At 44.1% G+C, this 18,285-nt stretch overlaps 1 protein-coding gene and 1 long non-coding RNA gene across 3 annotated transcripts in view; one reads left to right on the forward strand and one right to left on the reverse strand.

The window, feature by feature from the left end:
- CRADD (CARD and death domain containing adaptor protein) overlaps nucleotides 1–1,898 on the forward strand; it is a 217,466-nt gene extending 215,568 nt beyond the window's left edge. For both annotated transcript variants that reach the window (NR_135147.2, NM_001320100.2), the window contains one exon: nucleotides 1,108–1,898. Coding sequence is in view for 1 of the 2 variants with exons in the window: in NM_001320100.2 (NP_001307029.1) it covers nucleotides 1,108–1,175 (68 nt within the window). In the remaining variant the exon portion in view is untranslated. The remainder of the gene's footprint in view (nucleotides 1–1,107) is intronic.
- Nucleotides 2,023–18,285, reverse strand: part of LOC105369911 (uncharacterized) — a 48,642-nt gene continuing 32,379 nt past the window's right edge. Inside the window, exons 2-3 of the long non-coding RNA NR_135017.1 lie at nucleotides 15,984–16,063; nucleotides 2,023–2,423 (exon numbers count right to left, since the gene is read on the reverse strand). This is a non-coding gene — a long non-coding RNA (uncharacterized LOC105369911). The remainder of the gene's footprint in view (nucleotides 2,424–15,983; nucleotides 16,064–18,285) is intronic.

The following is an 18,285-nucleotide window of genomic DNA, read 5'->3' on the forward strand; positions in this document are numbered from 1 at the left end:
AAATGTGGCCTTGGCTCTTCCGAAAGAACACAGGCTGTGCTGTAAAGAAGGGCTGCAGCCGCCTGGTGCTTGACAAGGTCCCCAAGACGGGAAGGGACACATGTAGCCCTGTCCTCCAGGACTCGGCTCTTCCTTTTTTACCTTCCAGGGAGCTCAGGTTACCAGTTTCCTTTGTGTTTTTCTGCCAGTGTGAACAGGAGAAATATTAGCCTTTAGAGATTTCTTTACAGTTCCTTGAAAGCTGGAGGGGTGAAATCAGCCAGAGAATTATATAACAGCAAAGCTCATTTAAAGCAACAGTGTCTTTCTATAGGGCTGTGGTGGTTCCTTACCAGTTTTTGTTACTAACTATAAAGAAAAGGATGCTAATTTTGTGAATAAAATAGAGGGGCATTCCCTTCCCTCATTACTTTCTGTTTGTTCATTGGACGGACACAATTCCTAGGGTGTTGATTTAAAAAAAAAAAATTGAAGCCTCTTTCAAGGAAGACTAGGGGAAATCATGTACATTAACCTCAGGCAGACACGGCATACTTATTCTTGTTAGAAGTCAGAAGAAAAAAAATAAAGAGAAAAGCTTTCTAAAGCATTTGTTTGTTTTAATTTAAGAGTCACGGGGAATTTTATAAATACTCGGCTAAATTCTTCAAAGGGAGCCATGTTCTTTAAATTTAAGCACTAGGCTGGGCGCAGTGGCTCATGCCTGTAATCCCAACACTTTGGGAGGCTGAGATGGGCCGATCACCTGAGGTCAGGAGTTCAGGACCAGCCTGGCCAACATGATGAAATCCTGTCTCTACTAACAATACAAAAATTAGCCAGGCGCGGTAGCATGTGCCTGTAATCCGAGCTACTCTGGAGGCTGAGGCAGGAGAATCACCTGAACCTGGGAGGCAGAGGTAGCAGTGAACCACACCACTGCACTCCAGCCTGGGCGACAGAGCAAGACTCCATCTCAAAAAAGAAAAAAAAAAAAATAAGCACTAGATCATCTATTCCTACGTTGTTTGACCTAGAGCTTAAATACATCTCAAAGTGCACCACACACATTAGCTCAGCTGATCGCCATACTCCCTTGATTTGACCTTCTCTTTCTTCTCATTTTAGAGATGAGGAAACTGAGGCCAAAGGATTCTGTTACTTGCCTGGCTTCACAGCTCACCTGGAGATTCTGAACTGGCATCTTCCTCTCTCTGCCATCACCCCAGACCCTACCCTCTTTCCTCTACACCAGTGGTTCTCAATCAAGGGCGATTTTGCCTTCCAGGGGACATTTGACAATGTCTGGAGGCGTTTTTGGTTGTCACAATTCTGTGTATGTGTGTGGGTGGGCGGGGGGCAGGGGATTATGTTGGCATCTAGTGAGTAGATAACAGAGATGCTGCTAAACCTACAATGCTCAGATGGCCCCTAACAAAGAAGTATGTTGTCCAAAATGTCAATGGTGCAGAGGGTGAGAAGCCCTGGTCTATACAGAGCTCAGCAGTCCAGAGCAATTGCAACCTCTGGGAGTTGCCAAGAGCTCCTCTGCCCAGCAACAGGCTTGGCCTCTCTCCTGTGGCTGCCACAAGAGTTAAAGCCACTGTCTGGAATGCCCTTTGGCAGTGGCCAAGTGTCCCCTGCAGAACTGACTGCGGGACATGCGGTGCATCAGCCGGAGCTGATGTGTTTTGTAATTTATAGTCACAGGGCGCCTGTCTTCATTTAGCAGTAGGCCTGCTGGCAGCTTCCCTGCCAGGGAGGAAGCAAGTTCCACAGAGGCCCACAGCCCCCGCCAGCTGCCGGCCCGTGGTATTTGGGGACGGCTGTTGCTCAGAGACACCTGGGAATAGGCCGGGGCCGAGATGGCGCTGAGCACTCGGTCTCCCCTTCAGACCCATCCATCAGCAGCGGTCCCTGCCAGAAGATGGCCTATTGAACATTTCCAGAAATAGCACAGCCAAGCCCGTCAACTGCTTTCTTGGAAATACATTCAATAAGGATGGCGGTCCTCCAGCAGGGAGAGCAGAAAGCCTGGCCTGGATCAGTCTGCTGAGAAACAGCAATGCCTGGCTACAGGCCATGTCGGTGCCTTGGGAAAGGGGAGCGGTTCTCATGGGACTTCCCAAGCCCTGCAGCCTCTGAAGTCACTTCAAAATGTTCTCAGTATGGAGGGAGAGAGTCACACCTTGCAGAAGGCCTTAGGCCCTGCCGACTTCTTCTAACTCAGTGACCTGCACATCTTGCTGTGTTCGTTCAGACACCCCGCAGACAGGAAGGCGATTCAGGCTTGGAGGCAAGGTATTAACTGTCAGCAGAGAGAGACCTCTGCATCATCTGGGGAACGTTTATTGCAGTCCCTCCTCTTGTGAGCTTCACTCCCAAGTAGAACCAAAGGAGCATCAGCAGGGGGAGTATTTTCTTCCCCAATCCTTCGGTCATTCCTGAGGTACAGGAAATACAAGGCAAAGATGTCATATTGAAAGAAAAGCTTATAATTTCTACTCCTCCCCTCCCCACTTCCCACAGAATTAACTTTCCCTTAACTTCCCTAACAGGGGCCTGACATTGCGGTTTGAATTCAGCCACCCTGGGAATCTGCACCCTGAGCTTTCTCCAATTTCTGGGATGGCACAGTGATGGCAGGGCTTAAGAGTGCCTCAAGAAGGCCAGCTGCCTTTAAAAACAAGCTCCTGGAAGATGTAGGTGTCACATAAAAGCAAGAGACCAAAAACTCTCTGCAATTTGGGGTGTTCAGGAAATGTTGATTGATCACATTTTTTAAATTATAAGAGACTGCTGGACATGGTGGCTCACTCCTGTAATCCCAGCACTTCAGGAGGCCCAAGTGAGAGGATTGCTTGAGCCCAAAAGTTCAAGACCAGCCTGGGCAACATGGCAAAACCTCACCTCTACAAAAAATCTAAAAATTAGCCAGGTGTGGTGGTGCACACCTATAATCCCAGCTACTTGGGAGGCTGTGTGGGAGGATTCCTTGAGCCCAGGAGACTGAGGCTGCAGTGAGCCATGATAGTGCCACTGCACTCCAGCCTGGGTTTACAGCAAGACCCTGTCTCAAAAAAAAAGTGTAAGACAGTTACCAGGTTCATCATAAAAAATTCGTGGGACCTGGTTTTATTTGCAAGAGCCACTGACTCTCAGGACAAACAAGATTTGAAGCCCACACTGAGCTATAGGTGGAGGCAGGGCTGTGAGAATACAATACAGGATGCCCAGTTAAATTTAAATTTCAGGTAAGCAATAATATTTTTTGTATAATTGTATTCCAAATATTATTATTATTTATCTGAAATTCAGATTTAATGGGCATCAGGTGTTTTGTTCAATCTGTTCACTCCATTTGGGGTATAAATTGATCTAGTTTTTAAACTGATAACAGGGAACACTGACACATATTCAATACATATGAAAGACGATACCAGTTAAGAGAAGAAGAAGGAGATTAGCAATGAAGAGGGAAAGCGAGAGAAATACCAGGAAGAAAAGGAGATGGGCATAGCGAAGGAGAAAAAGTTCCAAATGAAAGAGAAACAGGAAGTGCTGAGGAGAGAGAAGAAAACAGGAATGTTTCTGAAGGACCAAAAATGTTTGATAAATTATGACTGTTACACAGAGAGCCATCTCCCTGGGAAATGCTGTTGAGTTGGCTAACCACTGTTCCTGGATCTGCAGCTCTTTGTTCTGTCTGGTAAAACACACAGTGACCACTAGGGAGAAATGACTCTCTAAGCCACAGTACCATTATCTGGGTCACTATTACCCCAGGCTCAGGTTGTTAAATAAAATTTATAGGAGGCCATTGCTTTGGACAGAGTCCTTCCACTGGGCTCCAACAGACCAAAGCAAACCAGAATAGTGTCACTTGTGCTACCTGACATGTGCTCAAACTGAACTTTAAAACGGGCCAGTTTTCCAAAAATCAGGAGATTTACAGCAACCAACTGAAAGTGAAGTGGTGTCATTCATCTGGGGTGATACCTGAGGTTCACTGCCTCATGCCAAAGAAATCGAGGATGCAGACACACACAGAGTGAGTTTAACAGGCGAAAGAAAGAGAATAGGTCTCTCTCCTGCAGAGAGGGGGATTCTCGAGTAGGTCTTCCGGTTCCATGGTGAAATGCACAGGGTTTTATAGATGATCTTGAGGAGGCAGTGTCTGATTTACATAGGGCCCAAAGGTTGGTTGGACCAGGTGTGTCATTTACATAACGTGCGAAGAAGATGGCTACCCCACCCTAATCTTTTATTATGCAGATATGTGCCATATTGCCTGTTTCTTTACTGTACACGTGGTGACAAAGAAAAGGGAAGATGGAGCCTCCATGCTGAACATGCCTGGTCCCCAGGTAGCCTTTTCCTATTGGCATAGCTGCCAGCATTCATCCATGCAAGCTTCCAGTTTGCTTATCTATGTTTGCAGCTCAACTTTTCAGGCCACTCTTTGTTAGAAAAGAAATGATTCGGGGGCTGCTTTTTATTAAAAGGGTAACCTTGCTGAGGACTCTCTTACCCTCACTAACTGCCTAATTTCTTTCTAGCTCCTGTATCAAAAGGGTCCCCATCCACCTGCACAGGCATGAGAGGGAAGTCCCCTGTGTATAAACCCTTTAAGGAAAGTAACTTTGAAATGACCAAGCCACTTCATGTTTCTTGATCTTGCTATCCCCAGGCTTTTCTGCCCATCCATCTGCTTGGTTCTTCAAAGCACCTTTTCTATTTTATAGATAAGATGCTGCCTGATTCACAAATCGATAATAAAAGCCAACTGGACCTTTAAATTCAATGTGTGAAAATTTTGTTCTTTGACAGGGTGAAGCCACATCTAAGGCTGTGTCCAACTCCAGGACCTAAGGGCCCTCCCTACTCCTCCCACCTCCACCCCCCCCCGCCTTCCCCCACAGGTTGCTGTCATTCATGGATTGAGGATTTTCGAAAAATTGGGATCTAAACAACAAAATGGATTTGGCTGCCACAATTCTTTGAAATTGTTTTGTTGTGGATGATTCAGAAAACCCTTCAACAGCTTCTTTCACCTCAGGGTCAATGTGTTTGAGGAGGAGAGTCATCGTAGGCCTGTGTGCAGACAATCGAGGTTCCTTGAATTATAAACACCCTTATTCCCATCCCCACAGATGGGAGGTCAGGTTGGCTTAACCCAAAGGGAGAAGACTATGTAGGCTGGGGGTAGGTGTGGTAAGAGAGGAGGCCTCCCAAGGAGGGGCCTGTAGTAGTTGGACCTGCCATCACCATGGACGCTACGGAATTGAAAAGAGGAGACAAGCAGGGACCCTCCTCTTAGGGGCCTGTAGGGGATGGACTGGTGGGAGAGGGTCAAGCATGGAAATAAAGGAAAGCCTTGAGTCCCTTTAAGGGAAATTCCAGGCACCTAGCTAGCCCTGAGGAGCTTAGCCCCATGCTAAGACCCTAGTCCAGATAACAACTGGATAAGCAAGAAGGTAATAGTAGCCTAAAACAGGCTGGGCGCGGTGGCTCACGCCTGTAATCCCTGCACTTTGGGAGGCTGAGGTGGGTGGATCACTTGAGGTCAGGAGACCAGCCTGGCCAATAGGGTGAAACCTTGTCTCTACTAAAAGCACAAAAATTAGCCAGGCGTGGCGGCGCATGCCTGTAATCCCAGCTACTTGGGAGGCTGAGGCAGGAGAATTGCTTGAGCCTGGGAGGCGGAGGTTGCAGTGAGCTGAGATGGCGCCACTGCACTCCAGCCTGGGCGACAGAGCAAGACTCTGGCTTAAAAAAAAAAGTAGCCTAAAACAATAGCCAAGGAAGCCAGAGTCACAGGATGTTTGGTTCCCTATAGAAACTAAAGATAGCATCTTAACGTGAGTCTCTGAGTTGTTTTTCAGAAACCTGGACTCTCACCAAACCCATCCCCCCTACATATAGATCTCAGATAAGGAGGAACTAGGAACTGAACTCTGATCACTGTACTTTGTTCTAAATTTCTTCCTGAAGGGCCTAGAGAAAGTCACACCCAAAGAGGTAGAGCTAACCTTTATTTCTGCTGGCCCCAGATTTTTAAACAAAGCTTCTCTTTCTTAACCAGTTGCAAATCAGAAAAGCTTTGAATCTACTTATGACCTGTAAGCCTTCTGCTTCAAGATATCCTGCCCTTTTAGGCCCAAACCAGTATGTAACCTGGGTATTGGTTTATGATTTTGCCTGTAACTTCTGCTTTCCTGAAATTTACCGCTGCCTTTAAAAACTCTTACCTGCAAGCCATCAGGGAGGTGGGGACTTAAGCATTAGTTGCCTGGTTCTCCTTGCATGGTGCCCTGCAAATAAACACCTTCCTTTCTCCCACTGCAAACCCTGATGTAGATATCTGATCTTACCGCACTGGGGAAGTGGACCCCAGTTAGATTCTATAATATAATAAAGGGGCTGCCTTTGGCTACCTGGGCTGGGGAGTAGGTCTCCCCATAAACTCCAGTGAGGAGCAGAAGAGACACACTAAATGTCTCACCATGCTAAGACGTCATTCCAGATACCTGGAGATATCTAGGCTGTCCATTTGGAACATCATCATTGCAACAATAACCTTTATGGAGCATCTACTCTGGGCCATTGCATGATCTGAATTGATCCTCAACAACTGAGTCAGGAAAAATTCAGTGTGGTCAAAGGAGAACAGAAAATTCCAGGCAGTATTTTCACATGCCTTGCAAAAAGGAAACTCTTGAAATAACTATAGAAGCTGGGGGCTGATAAGACCCTGGAAAACCAGGGTGTGGGCCAAGCTGGCTAAGACCAACTGGACCCAACATGGTGCTGCATTTGACCTAGGTTTCTCCCAAGACCTCATTATACCCTCACCCACCAGTACCATGATGTTTCCAGGAACACCCATATTTGGTGTAAAAATGGGTGGCACTACAGTTCCAAGAAATCCTCACCTTTTTCCAGGAATCTTTATGAATATTCCACCCCTTGGTTAAAGAAATCAATAATGATAGGAACCCCAAGCTCCATGTGACTCTGTCTTTTGAGTACGCCAGCACTCCCTTGTCTTGAGTGTGTATTTTTACTTTGCAATCAAGCTCTCTGTCTAGCCGGGCGCAGTGGCATATGCCTGTAATCCAAGCACTTTGGGAGGCTGAGGCAGGAGGATCGCTTGAGTCCAGGAGTTTGTGACCAACCTGGCAACATGGAGAAACCCCATCTACACACACACACACACACACACACACACACACACACAATTCAAAAACTAGCTGGGCGTGGTGGTGAACACCTGTAGTCCCAGCTACACAGTGGGTTGAGGTGGGAGGATCACTTGAGCCTGGGAGGTCGAGGCTGAGATCATGCCACTGCACTCCAGCCTGGGCGACAGAGTGAGACCCTGTCTCAAAAATAAAAATAAACAAATCTCCATACTTTCACTGTTGTTCAGCTCCTCCTTGAATTCCTTCTCATGAAAGTGTCAAGGGCCTGGACACTAGCTAGGGTCGAGGTCCCACCATTGTTTGGGGACCTCTCCCAGCCCACCAGTGTCACAGCGATCTCATGTTGTAGGTATAATATTATTTATATTACTACAGCAATGCCCTAAGTCAAGAGATGGAGAAATTAGGACTGCAAAAAGTTAAGTTGTTGTCTAAAAGTCAATTGATTAGTGAGTGTTGGGGCAGAGATTTGTCTCAGGGATGCCTCTCTCCCAGCCCAGGGATCATCCCTAACCCTCCAGTCAGACTGCCGGGTTCAAATCTCAGCTCCATCACTCACAAGCTGTGTGGCCTTGGGTAAGTTACTGAATCTCTCTGCATCTGTTTCACTGTGTGAAAAGTGGTAATAAAAATAGGACCTAGCTCATGGAGATGCTGCAAGGATTTAATGAAGGCTGGGTGCAGTGGCTCATGCCTGTAATCCCAGCACTTTGGGAAGCCAAGGTGGGAGGATCACTTGTGCCCAGGAGTTTGAGACCAGTATGGGCAACATAGTGAGACCCCCCACCTCCACACACACACACACAAAATTAGCCAGGCATGGTGGTGCCACCTGTAGTCCAGCTACTTGGGAGGCTGAGGCAGGAGGATTGCTTGAGCTTGGGAGGTCAGGGCTGCAGTGAGCTGTGATTGTACCACTGCACTCCAGCCTGGGTGACAGAGAAGGACTCTGTCTCCAAAAGAAAAAAAAAATAGATTTAATGAGTGAGAACTCTGACTTTTTTTTTCTCTTGCCCAAATTCCTATCTAAGGGGCCTGGAGAGTCACACCTTAGAAACCATAAAATCTCATTAGACAGGCTTTATTAGCCATTTTTTAAAATTTTTTAACTTTTTTTTATTGTGATGGGGTCTCACTATATTGCCCAGGCTGGTCTCAAACTCCTGGGCTCAAGTGACCTCCTGACTTGGCCACCCAAAGTGTTGGGATTACAGGTGTGAGCCCCCACACCTGGCTGAGTTTTATTAATCTTATATAATATGGCTTACTTTACAACCTGACTCAGATATAGCATCACATGACAGATAGCATACCCTGAAGGAAACCAAAATATTTTACCCCAAAATATATTTCTTTAACATATTTTGAAATGGCTGCCACAGGGCCAACAGATTGAAATGACTTTGCAAAGCCATCTTTTGTGGGGAAATTTTGCATCTGTAGAGAATCTCCATAAATGTAGCCAGGACTTTCCCCTTCTAGGTCTTTCCCTGATTAACTGAGAGTCTGACACCTTTAAAGTCTGAGAAGAGACATTCACCATCTATTCTCTCTGAGGGCTGCCACCTATAACGTTCATCTACATCAGAACCTTGGCCTCCACAACCTCCTTATCTTAATTCAGGCTTTCCTTTCTACTGATTTCAAGGATTTAAATCAAGCTTTGTGATGTCACACTTTTTGGGCCAATCCAACGTATACTTTCCACGTATTGATTTATGATTTTAACTGCAATTCCTGTCTCCCTGAAATGTCTAAAACCAAACTGTAACCTGACTAGTTTAGGCTTCCTTTCTCAGTTCCTCTTGAGATTGTGCAACCTGGGATGAAGGTACTCACATCGGCTTGGAATAAACTTCTTTAAATATATTTTGGCAGAATTTGGTTTTGCCATTAACATAAGTTTATAAGTGTAAAGTACTTAGGACATGTCTGTCACATACAGAACACTAAGTATTAGTGCTATTATTATTCCTATCATTGTTAGTGTTCAGTTATTTCCAAGAAATGATACGAGCCTGATGGGCCATCAACATTGTCCTTGGGAGGGTGCAGCAGAAGGGGCTGGTTCTGCCTCTGCTCTGTTCATGTTAGTGGTGGTGAATCTGTACGGTCTGTAGCAACCTCAATTCTTGCCCCTTCAGAAGAAAGAATTTGACCAAGGGGCATAAGACAAAGGGAGAGACCAGGGCAAGTTTTAGAGCAGGAGTGAAAGCTTATTAAAAAGTTTTAGAGCAGGAAAGAAAGGAAGTAAAGTACATTTGGGAGAGGGCCAAGTGGGTGACTTGAGAGATCCAAGTATCCTGCTTGACCTTTGACTTGGGGTTTTATACGTTGGCATGCTTCTGGAGTTTTGCATCTCTCCTCCCTTGATTTTTAACTTGGGGCAGGCCGTCCACATGCACAGTGGCCTCCCAACACTTGGGAGGGGCTGCATGTGCAGTGCGTTTACTGAAGTTGTGTGCACGCTCACTTGAGGCGTTTTCTCCTTATCAGTTGAGCATTCCCAGAGGAAGGTCATTTACCAATTAAACTCCATGATTTTGCCTCTTAGTGTCCATGCTTGAGCCCACTTGCCCAACTCCTGAGATCTTATTTGGAAGCGGCTGATCACGCACTTCAGGTGTTTTCCATCTATCAGGAGACTGCCAATAGGTCTATTGGGTGCTGTCTGTGATAAATTATTATTTTAGAGAGACGTTTTAGCAACCACTCAACCATTACCTGATGGTTGCCTGACATTCCTGAGGGGAGGGAGCCCTCTCCTGCCATGCTCATGTCTGCCTAACTGCCAACTTCAACAGTTTTAGTTTTTGTGGTTTACGCATGTGTCATTGTCCAGGCAACATTTTAAATTTCTTATTCTTGTGAACAAGGTACAGGGGCTTCCTTAAGTCTACCAAGTAGTTATTCATAGAAAGATGATTCAGAAGACTCAATTTTCTGAATTTACCTTTTATCTCTGCTTGTTAATAATGACTCTATTATATGCCGGTGAGGCTAGACAATGCTGCAGTAACAAATAAAGCCCTGGAGTCACAATGATGTATCAGAACAATTTTTTTTCCCCCTTCATAGAATGTCTAGGAAAGCTTTCCTCCATGCATTGACTCGGGGATCTAGGCTGTTTCCACCTTGTGGCTCATCAAAGGCTTTCATGGTCACAGCCAAATGAAATGAGAGAAGTGGAGGGACTCTCCTAGTGAACTGCCTTTACCTACATTTACACACTCCTCCTCTGTTCAAAGTCCATTAGTCAGACTTGTCACATGGCTCCAACCACAGCAGGTGAGGAAGTAGGAGGAATACATGGATTTTCTCTTTCCAGCACCCTAATGGTCTCTACCTCAATGCACAAACCCAGCTTATGGCCCCAAGTGAAGAACTGCTAGTTGCTTTGTTAATCAAGTAATGAGAACCTTTTTCTTATTAATTATGGTCATGTATTTATTTGATTGAGACATAGTTAATTTATTCACTCTTTCAATAAGTATTTGTTGAGTATTTCCTCTCTACCAGGCACCTGTGGGCCCTGGGGATATGTCAGTAAGTGAAACAGAACAAAACCACTTCCTTCATAGAACTAGCATTCCAGTGGGAAATTGTGAAAGATAGATAATTAACCCCCAAAAATAAGAAAGCAATATATTAGGCGTTGATATGTGCAATGGAGAAAATAAAACAGGGAAGAGGTTTCAAGATGCAAGTGTGTGTATCTGTGTGTTTGTGTGTATTGAGGGAGGAACTTAAAATAGGATGGTTAGTGAAGACCTTCTTGCAAAAGTGACATTTGAGTAGACGCTCAAAGGAGGCAGGAGAGCTCTGGGGTAAAAGCCGTCTGTGAAGGGGAAGAAGGGAGTGCAAAGGCCCTGAGGCAGGAGAGTGCCTGGCATGCTGAGGGCAGTGAGGATGTCAGTGCGTCTGAGGAGAGTGGTGGGATATGAGGTGAGGAAGGTGATGAGGATGTACGCACCCTGGAGGGCCTTGTAACCTGTTTAAGGATGTTGCTTTTACTCTTGCTTAAAAACCTCCAATTTTCTTCCCACTTCCCAACATACATACTGTACGTCTGTCAGTTCCCCTGCAGCAGTGGTTCTCAAATTTCAACTGGCATTAGAATCACCTAGAAGGTTAAAATCAGACTGCCGTGGTTTACCTCGCAGAGTTTCTGTGGTAGGGCCTGAGAATTTGCAATTCTAATTGGATCCCAGATGCTATGGTCTGAACGTGTGTGTCCCCTCAATTCATATGGTGAAACCTAATCCCCAGTGCAATGGTACAAGGAGGTGGGACTTTTGGGAGGTTATTAGGTCATGACAGCAGAGCCCTCATAAATGGAACTAGTGCCCTTATAAAAGAGGCTCCAGAGAGCTACCTGGCCCCTTCCACTGTGTAAGGTTGCAATAAGAAGGTGCCATCTATGAACCAGGAATAGGGCTCTCCCCAGAAGAGAGACCCCTATTCCTCACTGCCCCTCAGGATGCCAGGCACTCTCCTGCCTCAGGGCCTTTGCAATCACTAATTCCCCATCTCAGACGGCTTTTACACCAGAGCTCTCCTGCCTCAGGGCCTTTGCACTCACTAATTCCCCATCTCAGACGGCTTTTACCCCAGAGCTCTCCTGCCTCCTTTGGGCATCTACTCAAATGCCACTTTTGCAAGAAGGTCTTCACTAGCCATCCTGTTTTAAGTTCCTCCCTCAATACACACAAACACACAGATACACACACACTTGCATTTTGAACCAACAACCTTCTGTGTTTTATTTTCTCCATTGCACTTAACATGAAATCTAGCCGGGCACAGTGGCTCACGCCTGTAATCCTAGCACTTTGGGAGGCAGAGGTAGGCGGATCACTTGAGGTCAGAAGTTTGAGACCAGCCTGCCCAACATGGTGAAACCTCATCTCTACTAAAAATACAAAAATTAGCTGGGCGTGGTGGCGGGCACTTGTAATCCCAACTACTGGGGAGGCTGAGTCAGGAAAATCGCTTGAACCCAGGAGGCAGAGGTGGCAGTGAGCCAAGATCACACCACTGCACTCCGGCCTGGGCAATAGAGTGAGACACTGTCTCAAAAAAATAAATAAGTAAATAATCAAATCTGCCAGTTTCTTATCTTGGACTTCGTAGTCTTCAGAACTATGAGAAATAGATATTGTTGTTTCAGCCACCCAGCTTATGGTATTTTCTTATAGCACCTGAGTGGACTAAGACACCAGGTGATGCTGATGCTACAGGGAACACACTTTGAGAACCACTGCTCTAGTGAAACAAGCCCCCTCTTGCTTTCCTACTTCCCCATGAAAACCTGCCCTGATTTTTGGACAAGGCCAGCTACATAATTTTTGAGGCTCAGTCAAAATGAAAATGCAAGGCCCCTGTTCAAAAAGGCAGGGGGAAAAAGGGCAGTATAAGATACTAAAATATCAAAATTATCCTTCTAAAATATTTTCTAGGTGGAGCATCCTTAATCCAAAAATCCAAAATAAATGTTTTAAAATCCAAAACTTTTTGAGCACTGATATGACACTCAAAATGCCCTAATGAGCATTTTAAATTTTAGGTATTCAGATTTGGGATGCTCAACCAGTAAGTATAATGCAAATATTCCAAAATCTGAAAAAAATCTGAAATTCAAAACACTTTTGGTCCCAAGCATTCCAGATAAGGTGTATTTAATACACTACATCACTTAGAAAGTATAATGAGAGTAATAATGACACATGAATAACAACACAAATTTTTAAATAGCCAAAAAATATTTTTGGTGTTGTAAGTTTATATAACACAATACATAATAGTATCTTATATTAACGTGACATTATAATTAATCTGGCTTGCTTTGCTGCATATTCATTAATTTCTGATGTGTTTTCTTGCATATTTATGTATTTATTTGATCATAAAAATTTGTACTTTTAACAGCTTAATTTTCAATGATCTAATTCAAAGCAATGTCAGTTGCTATTGGCAAATGTAAGATCACGAATACTTTTTGATAAATTTAATTTTGACAATTAGAATCTACTGATGCAACTCTTACTAGAATAAGTTTATTTTTTAGGCTGTAATGATATTGGGATACATTTCTGATAAATTATCTTGAAATATGAATTTTAGTACATCTAGAGGTGATGATTCCTATAGAAATATTTTCTAAAAAGATTTAACTCTTCATACAAATCAGTTTCTTATAAATCTGAATTTAATTGTACATGTAAATTTTAATATTAATTAATATTTCCTCCAGCAGTTCCTGCAAGTTGTGGCAGTTACACAAGAAACAAAAAAAGGCTTCATAATTTTTATATAATTCAAGGCACTTCTTTATGCATTCTATCACTGCATCTTCAAATATAAGGAAATTTAACTTTTTTTTTTTTTTCGAGACAGAGTCTCGCTCTGTTGGCTAGGCTGGAGTGCAGTGGCACGATCTCGGCTCACTGCAACCTCTGCCTCCAGGGCTCAAGAAATTCTCCTGCCTCAGCCTCCTGAGTAGCTGGGATTACAGGTGTGTGCCACCATGCCCGGCTAATTTTTGTGTTTTTAGTAGAGACGGGGTTTCACCATTTTGGCCAGGCTGTTCTTGAACTCCTGACCTCAGGTAATCCGCCAGCCTCGGCCTCCCAAAGTGCTGGGATTACAGGCATGAGCCACTGTGCCTGGCCAGAAAATTTAATTTTTAAATTGTCTTGCTAATTTTTGGTTTATCTGAGGTTTTCCTGCAAATAATAATGTTCTTTTCTGTTGAATAGGATAATCTTTACATTTAATTTCTATTTCCAAGCCTGTGGATATTTGGTTTGCAATGTTGCAATGGTTTTCAAAACCCTTTGAAGAATTTTAATAACTCCCTGATATGCTTTATTGCAATGTCTGTGTGTACATCTTGTTTTATAATAACTTACTGACAAACTTTGCTGCCTGAGTACCAGCAGTTCCTGTCGCAGTGCTTAGACTGGAGAGTTAATATTTATGCAGATGCTGCAGGAACAGGCTCTGGGGACAGACTCTCCTGGGGCTGCCCCTCCGTGGAACCCCAGTGCTGCTCCTCTCTGCCACAGCCACTACTTCTGCTACTTCCATGCATCTGCTGCTTCTGCTACTACTGCTATCACCACCAATGTAGGCCCCGGTCCCAGCCCAGCTGCCCCCTCAGATACCCCTGGTGCCCAGGACAGCCCCAGGTATGCCCGTGCATACCAGATGGCCAGGCCAACTCCTGGTGCTGCCCTTTGCCATGCCTGTAGGCATGAGCCTGCACGTGTACACTAACACCTGGAATCTCCTCTGCTCCATGCATGCTCTATTGTCTGATCTGACTTCACAACACAAGGTCAAAAATAAAATTGTCAAGAATTTCAAGACAGTAACAGCAGAACATTAAACCAAGCATGGGATTCCTTCTGAGAGTAGGCCCTGTGTGCACAGGTTGCACACCCATGAAGCTGGTCCTGCTTTGGATTAAGTGATTTACCATAACTTTTGCCCATGTACCTCTTATATTATTTTCTAACAATGTGTTACACTAAATTGTTTAAGGTCTATTTTCTCCACTAAATCAGAGGTCAGCAAACTATGGCCCAATGGCTAAATCCAGCCATTTGTTATTTTTTAAATTGTTTATATTTAGGGTGTACAACATGATGGATTTTGTTGTTGTTGTTTGTTTGTTTGTTTGTTTGTTTGTTTTTGAGACAGGGTCTCACTCTGTTGCCCAGGCTGGAGTGCAGTGGTGCTATCTCTGCTCACTGCAACCTCCGCTTCCTGGGTTCAAGTGATTCCCATGCCTCAGTCACCTGAGTAGCTGGGATTACAGGGGTGTACCACCACGCCTGGCTAATTTTTGCATTTTTAGTAGAGATAGAGTAATCACTATGTTGGCCAGGCTGGTCTTGAACTTCTGGCCTTGTGTTATCCACCCACCTTGGCCTCCCAAAGTGTTGTGATTACGGGTGTGAGTCACTGAGCCCAGCCAACATGATGTTTTGGTAAACATATACATGGTGAACAATACATGATATACACATACATTATTACTGTCAAGCAAATTAACATACCCATCATCTCATATAGTTACCTTTCTTTTTGTGTGATAAGAGTCTCCAAAATCTACTCTCTTAGCAAATTTCCAATATACAATACAATATTAACTATAGTCTTCATGTTCCACATGAGATTTCTAGATTTATTCTCCTATAGGAACCACAACTTTGTACTCTTTGACCTACATCTTTCCATTTCCCTTATTCACCCCTTCCCGTGGTCACCACAATTTACTCTTTGCTTTTATGTATTTAACTTTTTGTTTCTGCCTGTTTTGTAATAAAGTTTTATTGAAACACATGCACACTCATTTGTTTACATATTGTCTATGGCTGCTTTCAACGGCAGGTTTGAGTAGTGTGACAAGGAATGTTTGGCCTACAGAGCCTATAACATTTGCTGCCTGGTCATTTATAGAATAAGTTTGTTAATGCCTGCATTGGACTATAGGATCCCTGAAGGCAGGAATTATATCTCTCCAGTTCACTTCTGTGTTCCCAATGCCTAGAGCAGGGCCTGGCATATAGTAAATGCTCAATCAACCCTTGCTAAAAAAAAAAAAAAAAAGAATGAAACAAAAACATGAATATATGAAGAGCCTAGCCTTTTTTGAAGTAACTCATTTTATCTTAAAGAAAATCATCTTTGGCTAGAGTCACAGAGTAGAAAAAAAAGTAAAAGAAAATCCTGTAAATTTTGATTCCTTTTCTGTTTTGTTTTCACGTAAAAATGATGTTTAAAATTACTTACCTTATGGTCAAATTGACTCTCCAGGGAAATCGAAGGTGATTGTCTTGTAGCTTGGCACGCCCTCTGGCACACACTCCAGTCTGGAGAGGCACAGGCGTTGAATAGAATAGAATAGCATTCATCATTCAACAACTATTTATTGAGCAAAGCATGGGGCTAGGCATGATAACAGAAATGACAATGATTCCACTATGTCTTACTCAATAGACCTGTAGAGCCTACAGACCAAAGAAAAAAAGACTCACAAATATATATACTCATATATAACTATACCATAAAAAGTGTTAAGTAAAAAGGAAAATGTCTGGATGAAGTGCTTTGAATTTTCAGAGCCAGGACGGATTCCTTTTGGCTGCAGAATCCAGAAAGGCTTTGTGCCAGTCATTCTCTATTTGGTCTCAGATCCGATCCCTGCTCTTCTGCGTTGCTTTGCACCACAAGATGCTGGCCCCTGCAAACTACATTTCCGTGGCTGCCCTGCCAACTGGCTCTATCTAGGCTCTGTCAGTGGGAGGCCATGGAAAGAGATCGGAGGACTGGACAAAGAGAGGAGAAGTGCCACGGCTCCTTTCTTTCGCGTGCTCCAGAGAGAGGAGCCATGGTATTTCTCCTCTCTCTCTGAACCTCAGTTTTCTCACTTTTCCAATGGAAAAAGCAATTGTGTCTATTTCTTGGGGTTTTTTTAAGAGAATGAAATGAGATAAGGCATGCAAAATGCTTAGCACAATACCTGATAAGTAATAAGCATTTAAAGAATACAGGCTGGGTGCAGTGGCTCACACCTGTAATCCCAGCACTTTGGGAGGCCAAGGCAAGTGGATCAGTTGAGTCAAATAGTTCGAGACCAGCCTGGGCAACATGACGAAACCCCACCTCTACCAAAATACAAAAATTAGCCCTGCGTGGTGGTACATGCTTGTAGACCCAGCTGCTTGGGAGGCTGAGGTGAGAGGACTGCTAGAACCCTGGAGGCAGAGGTTACAGTGAGCCGAGATCGCGTCATGCACTCCAGCCTGGGTGACAGAGTGAGACCCCATCTCAAATAAATACATAAATAAATAAATAAAATACAGAATAGAGCTGTTCTTGCTTTTGGGCTTGTTCAGGGAAGTGGGAAGGAGTGCAGTGATCGGTGATGTCTGCTAAAGGTGAAAGGTGAGAGAGTAGAGCTATGTGCGAGGAATATTTAGTAATGTATATTAAAACTGTATTGATATAAACAGTTAACTGATATTAATATATTAAAACTGTATTATAAAGATAGAACTGAAGGGACCTGGCAAATGGACTGGCAGACTCTAGAAAGGGATTAGGAAAAATCAAAGACCTGGAATGGTGATACCAAAGCACACACAGTCAATACACAAGAACCAGTAGGCTCAGGAGAACAGATTATGAATTTACTTTTAGACAATGGTGTGCAAACCTTTCCAGTTGCAAAAAAAAAAAATGCCTACAGTAATACCTTCAAGACACTTTAACAGGTGGGGATTTTTGTTAGAGATATAAATATATGCAGTGAGTTAGCAAAACAAAAACAAAAACAAAACATTTCAGCAGCTGCACATTCTGGCCTCATGGAGAACTGGAAAACTATCCAGGAAACCACAGCAACTGCAGTTCCTAGAGCCTGGCCTCCTCTGAAGAGGAGAAACCATTGTTTTTTACTTAGCAGTTCTACCTTGCCCAAGGTGCCTTCTGTTTACAATCTCCCTCTTTCTGGTTTTCCCTTTCTTGCCTCTGTGTCTGTGGCTGGATTATCTGTCTTGCATTCAAGATGATTAGGTGGGATATTTACCACCCAATATGAAGCTTCCCAACTGGGCTGCATCCTCAGGTTAGATGCCCTGGGCTCAGCATAGCAGTTGTGGTCAGCACAGCAGATTCACCTGAAACAACGCAAAGACCCACCTTTCTCAGAAGGAGCTGCGTAATCAGTAGGTTTTATAGCCAGACTGGTGAAGACAGGGTGAATTAGAGATGTCTTTTGTTTGTTTGTTTTTGTTTTTGTTTTTTTTTTGAGATGGAGTTTCGCTCTTGTTGCCCAGGCTGGAGTGCAATGGCACGATCTGGGCTCACCGCAACCTCCGCATCCTGGGTTCTAGCGATTCTCCCACCTCAGCCTCCCGAGTAGTTGGGATTACAGGCATGCGCCACCACGCCCAGCTAATTTTTGTATTTTTAGTAGAGACGGGGTTTCACCATGCTGGTCAGGCTGGTCTCAAACTCCCAACCTTAGATGATCCGCCCGCCTCAGCCTCCCAAAGCGCTGGGATTACAGGTGTGAGACACCACGGCCTGC

This window comes from Homo sapiens, chromosome 12, assembly GCF_000001405.40.
Source record: "Homo sapiens chromosome 12, GRCh38.p14 Primary Assembly".
Taxonomy (NCBI): Eukaryota; Metazoa; Chordata; class Mammalia; order Primates; family Hominidae; genus Homo; species Homo sapiens.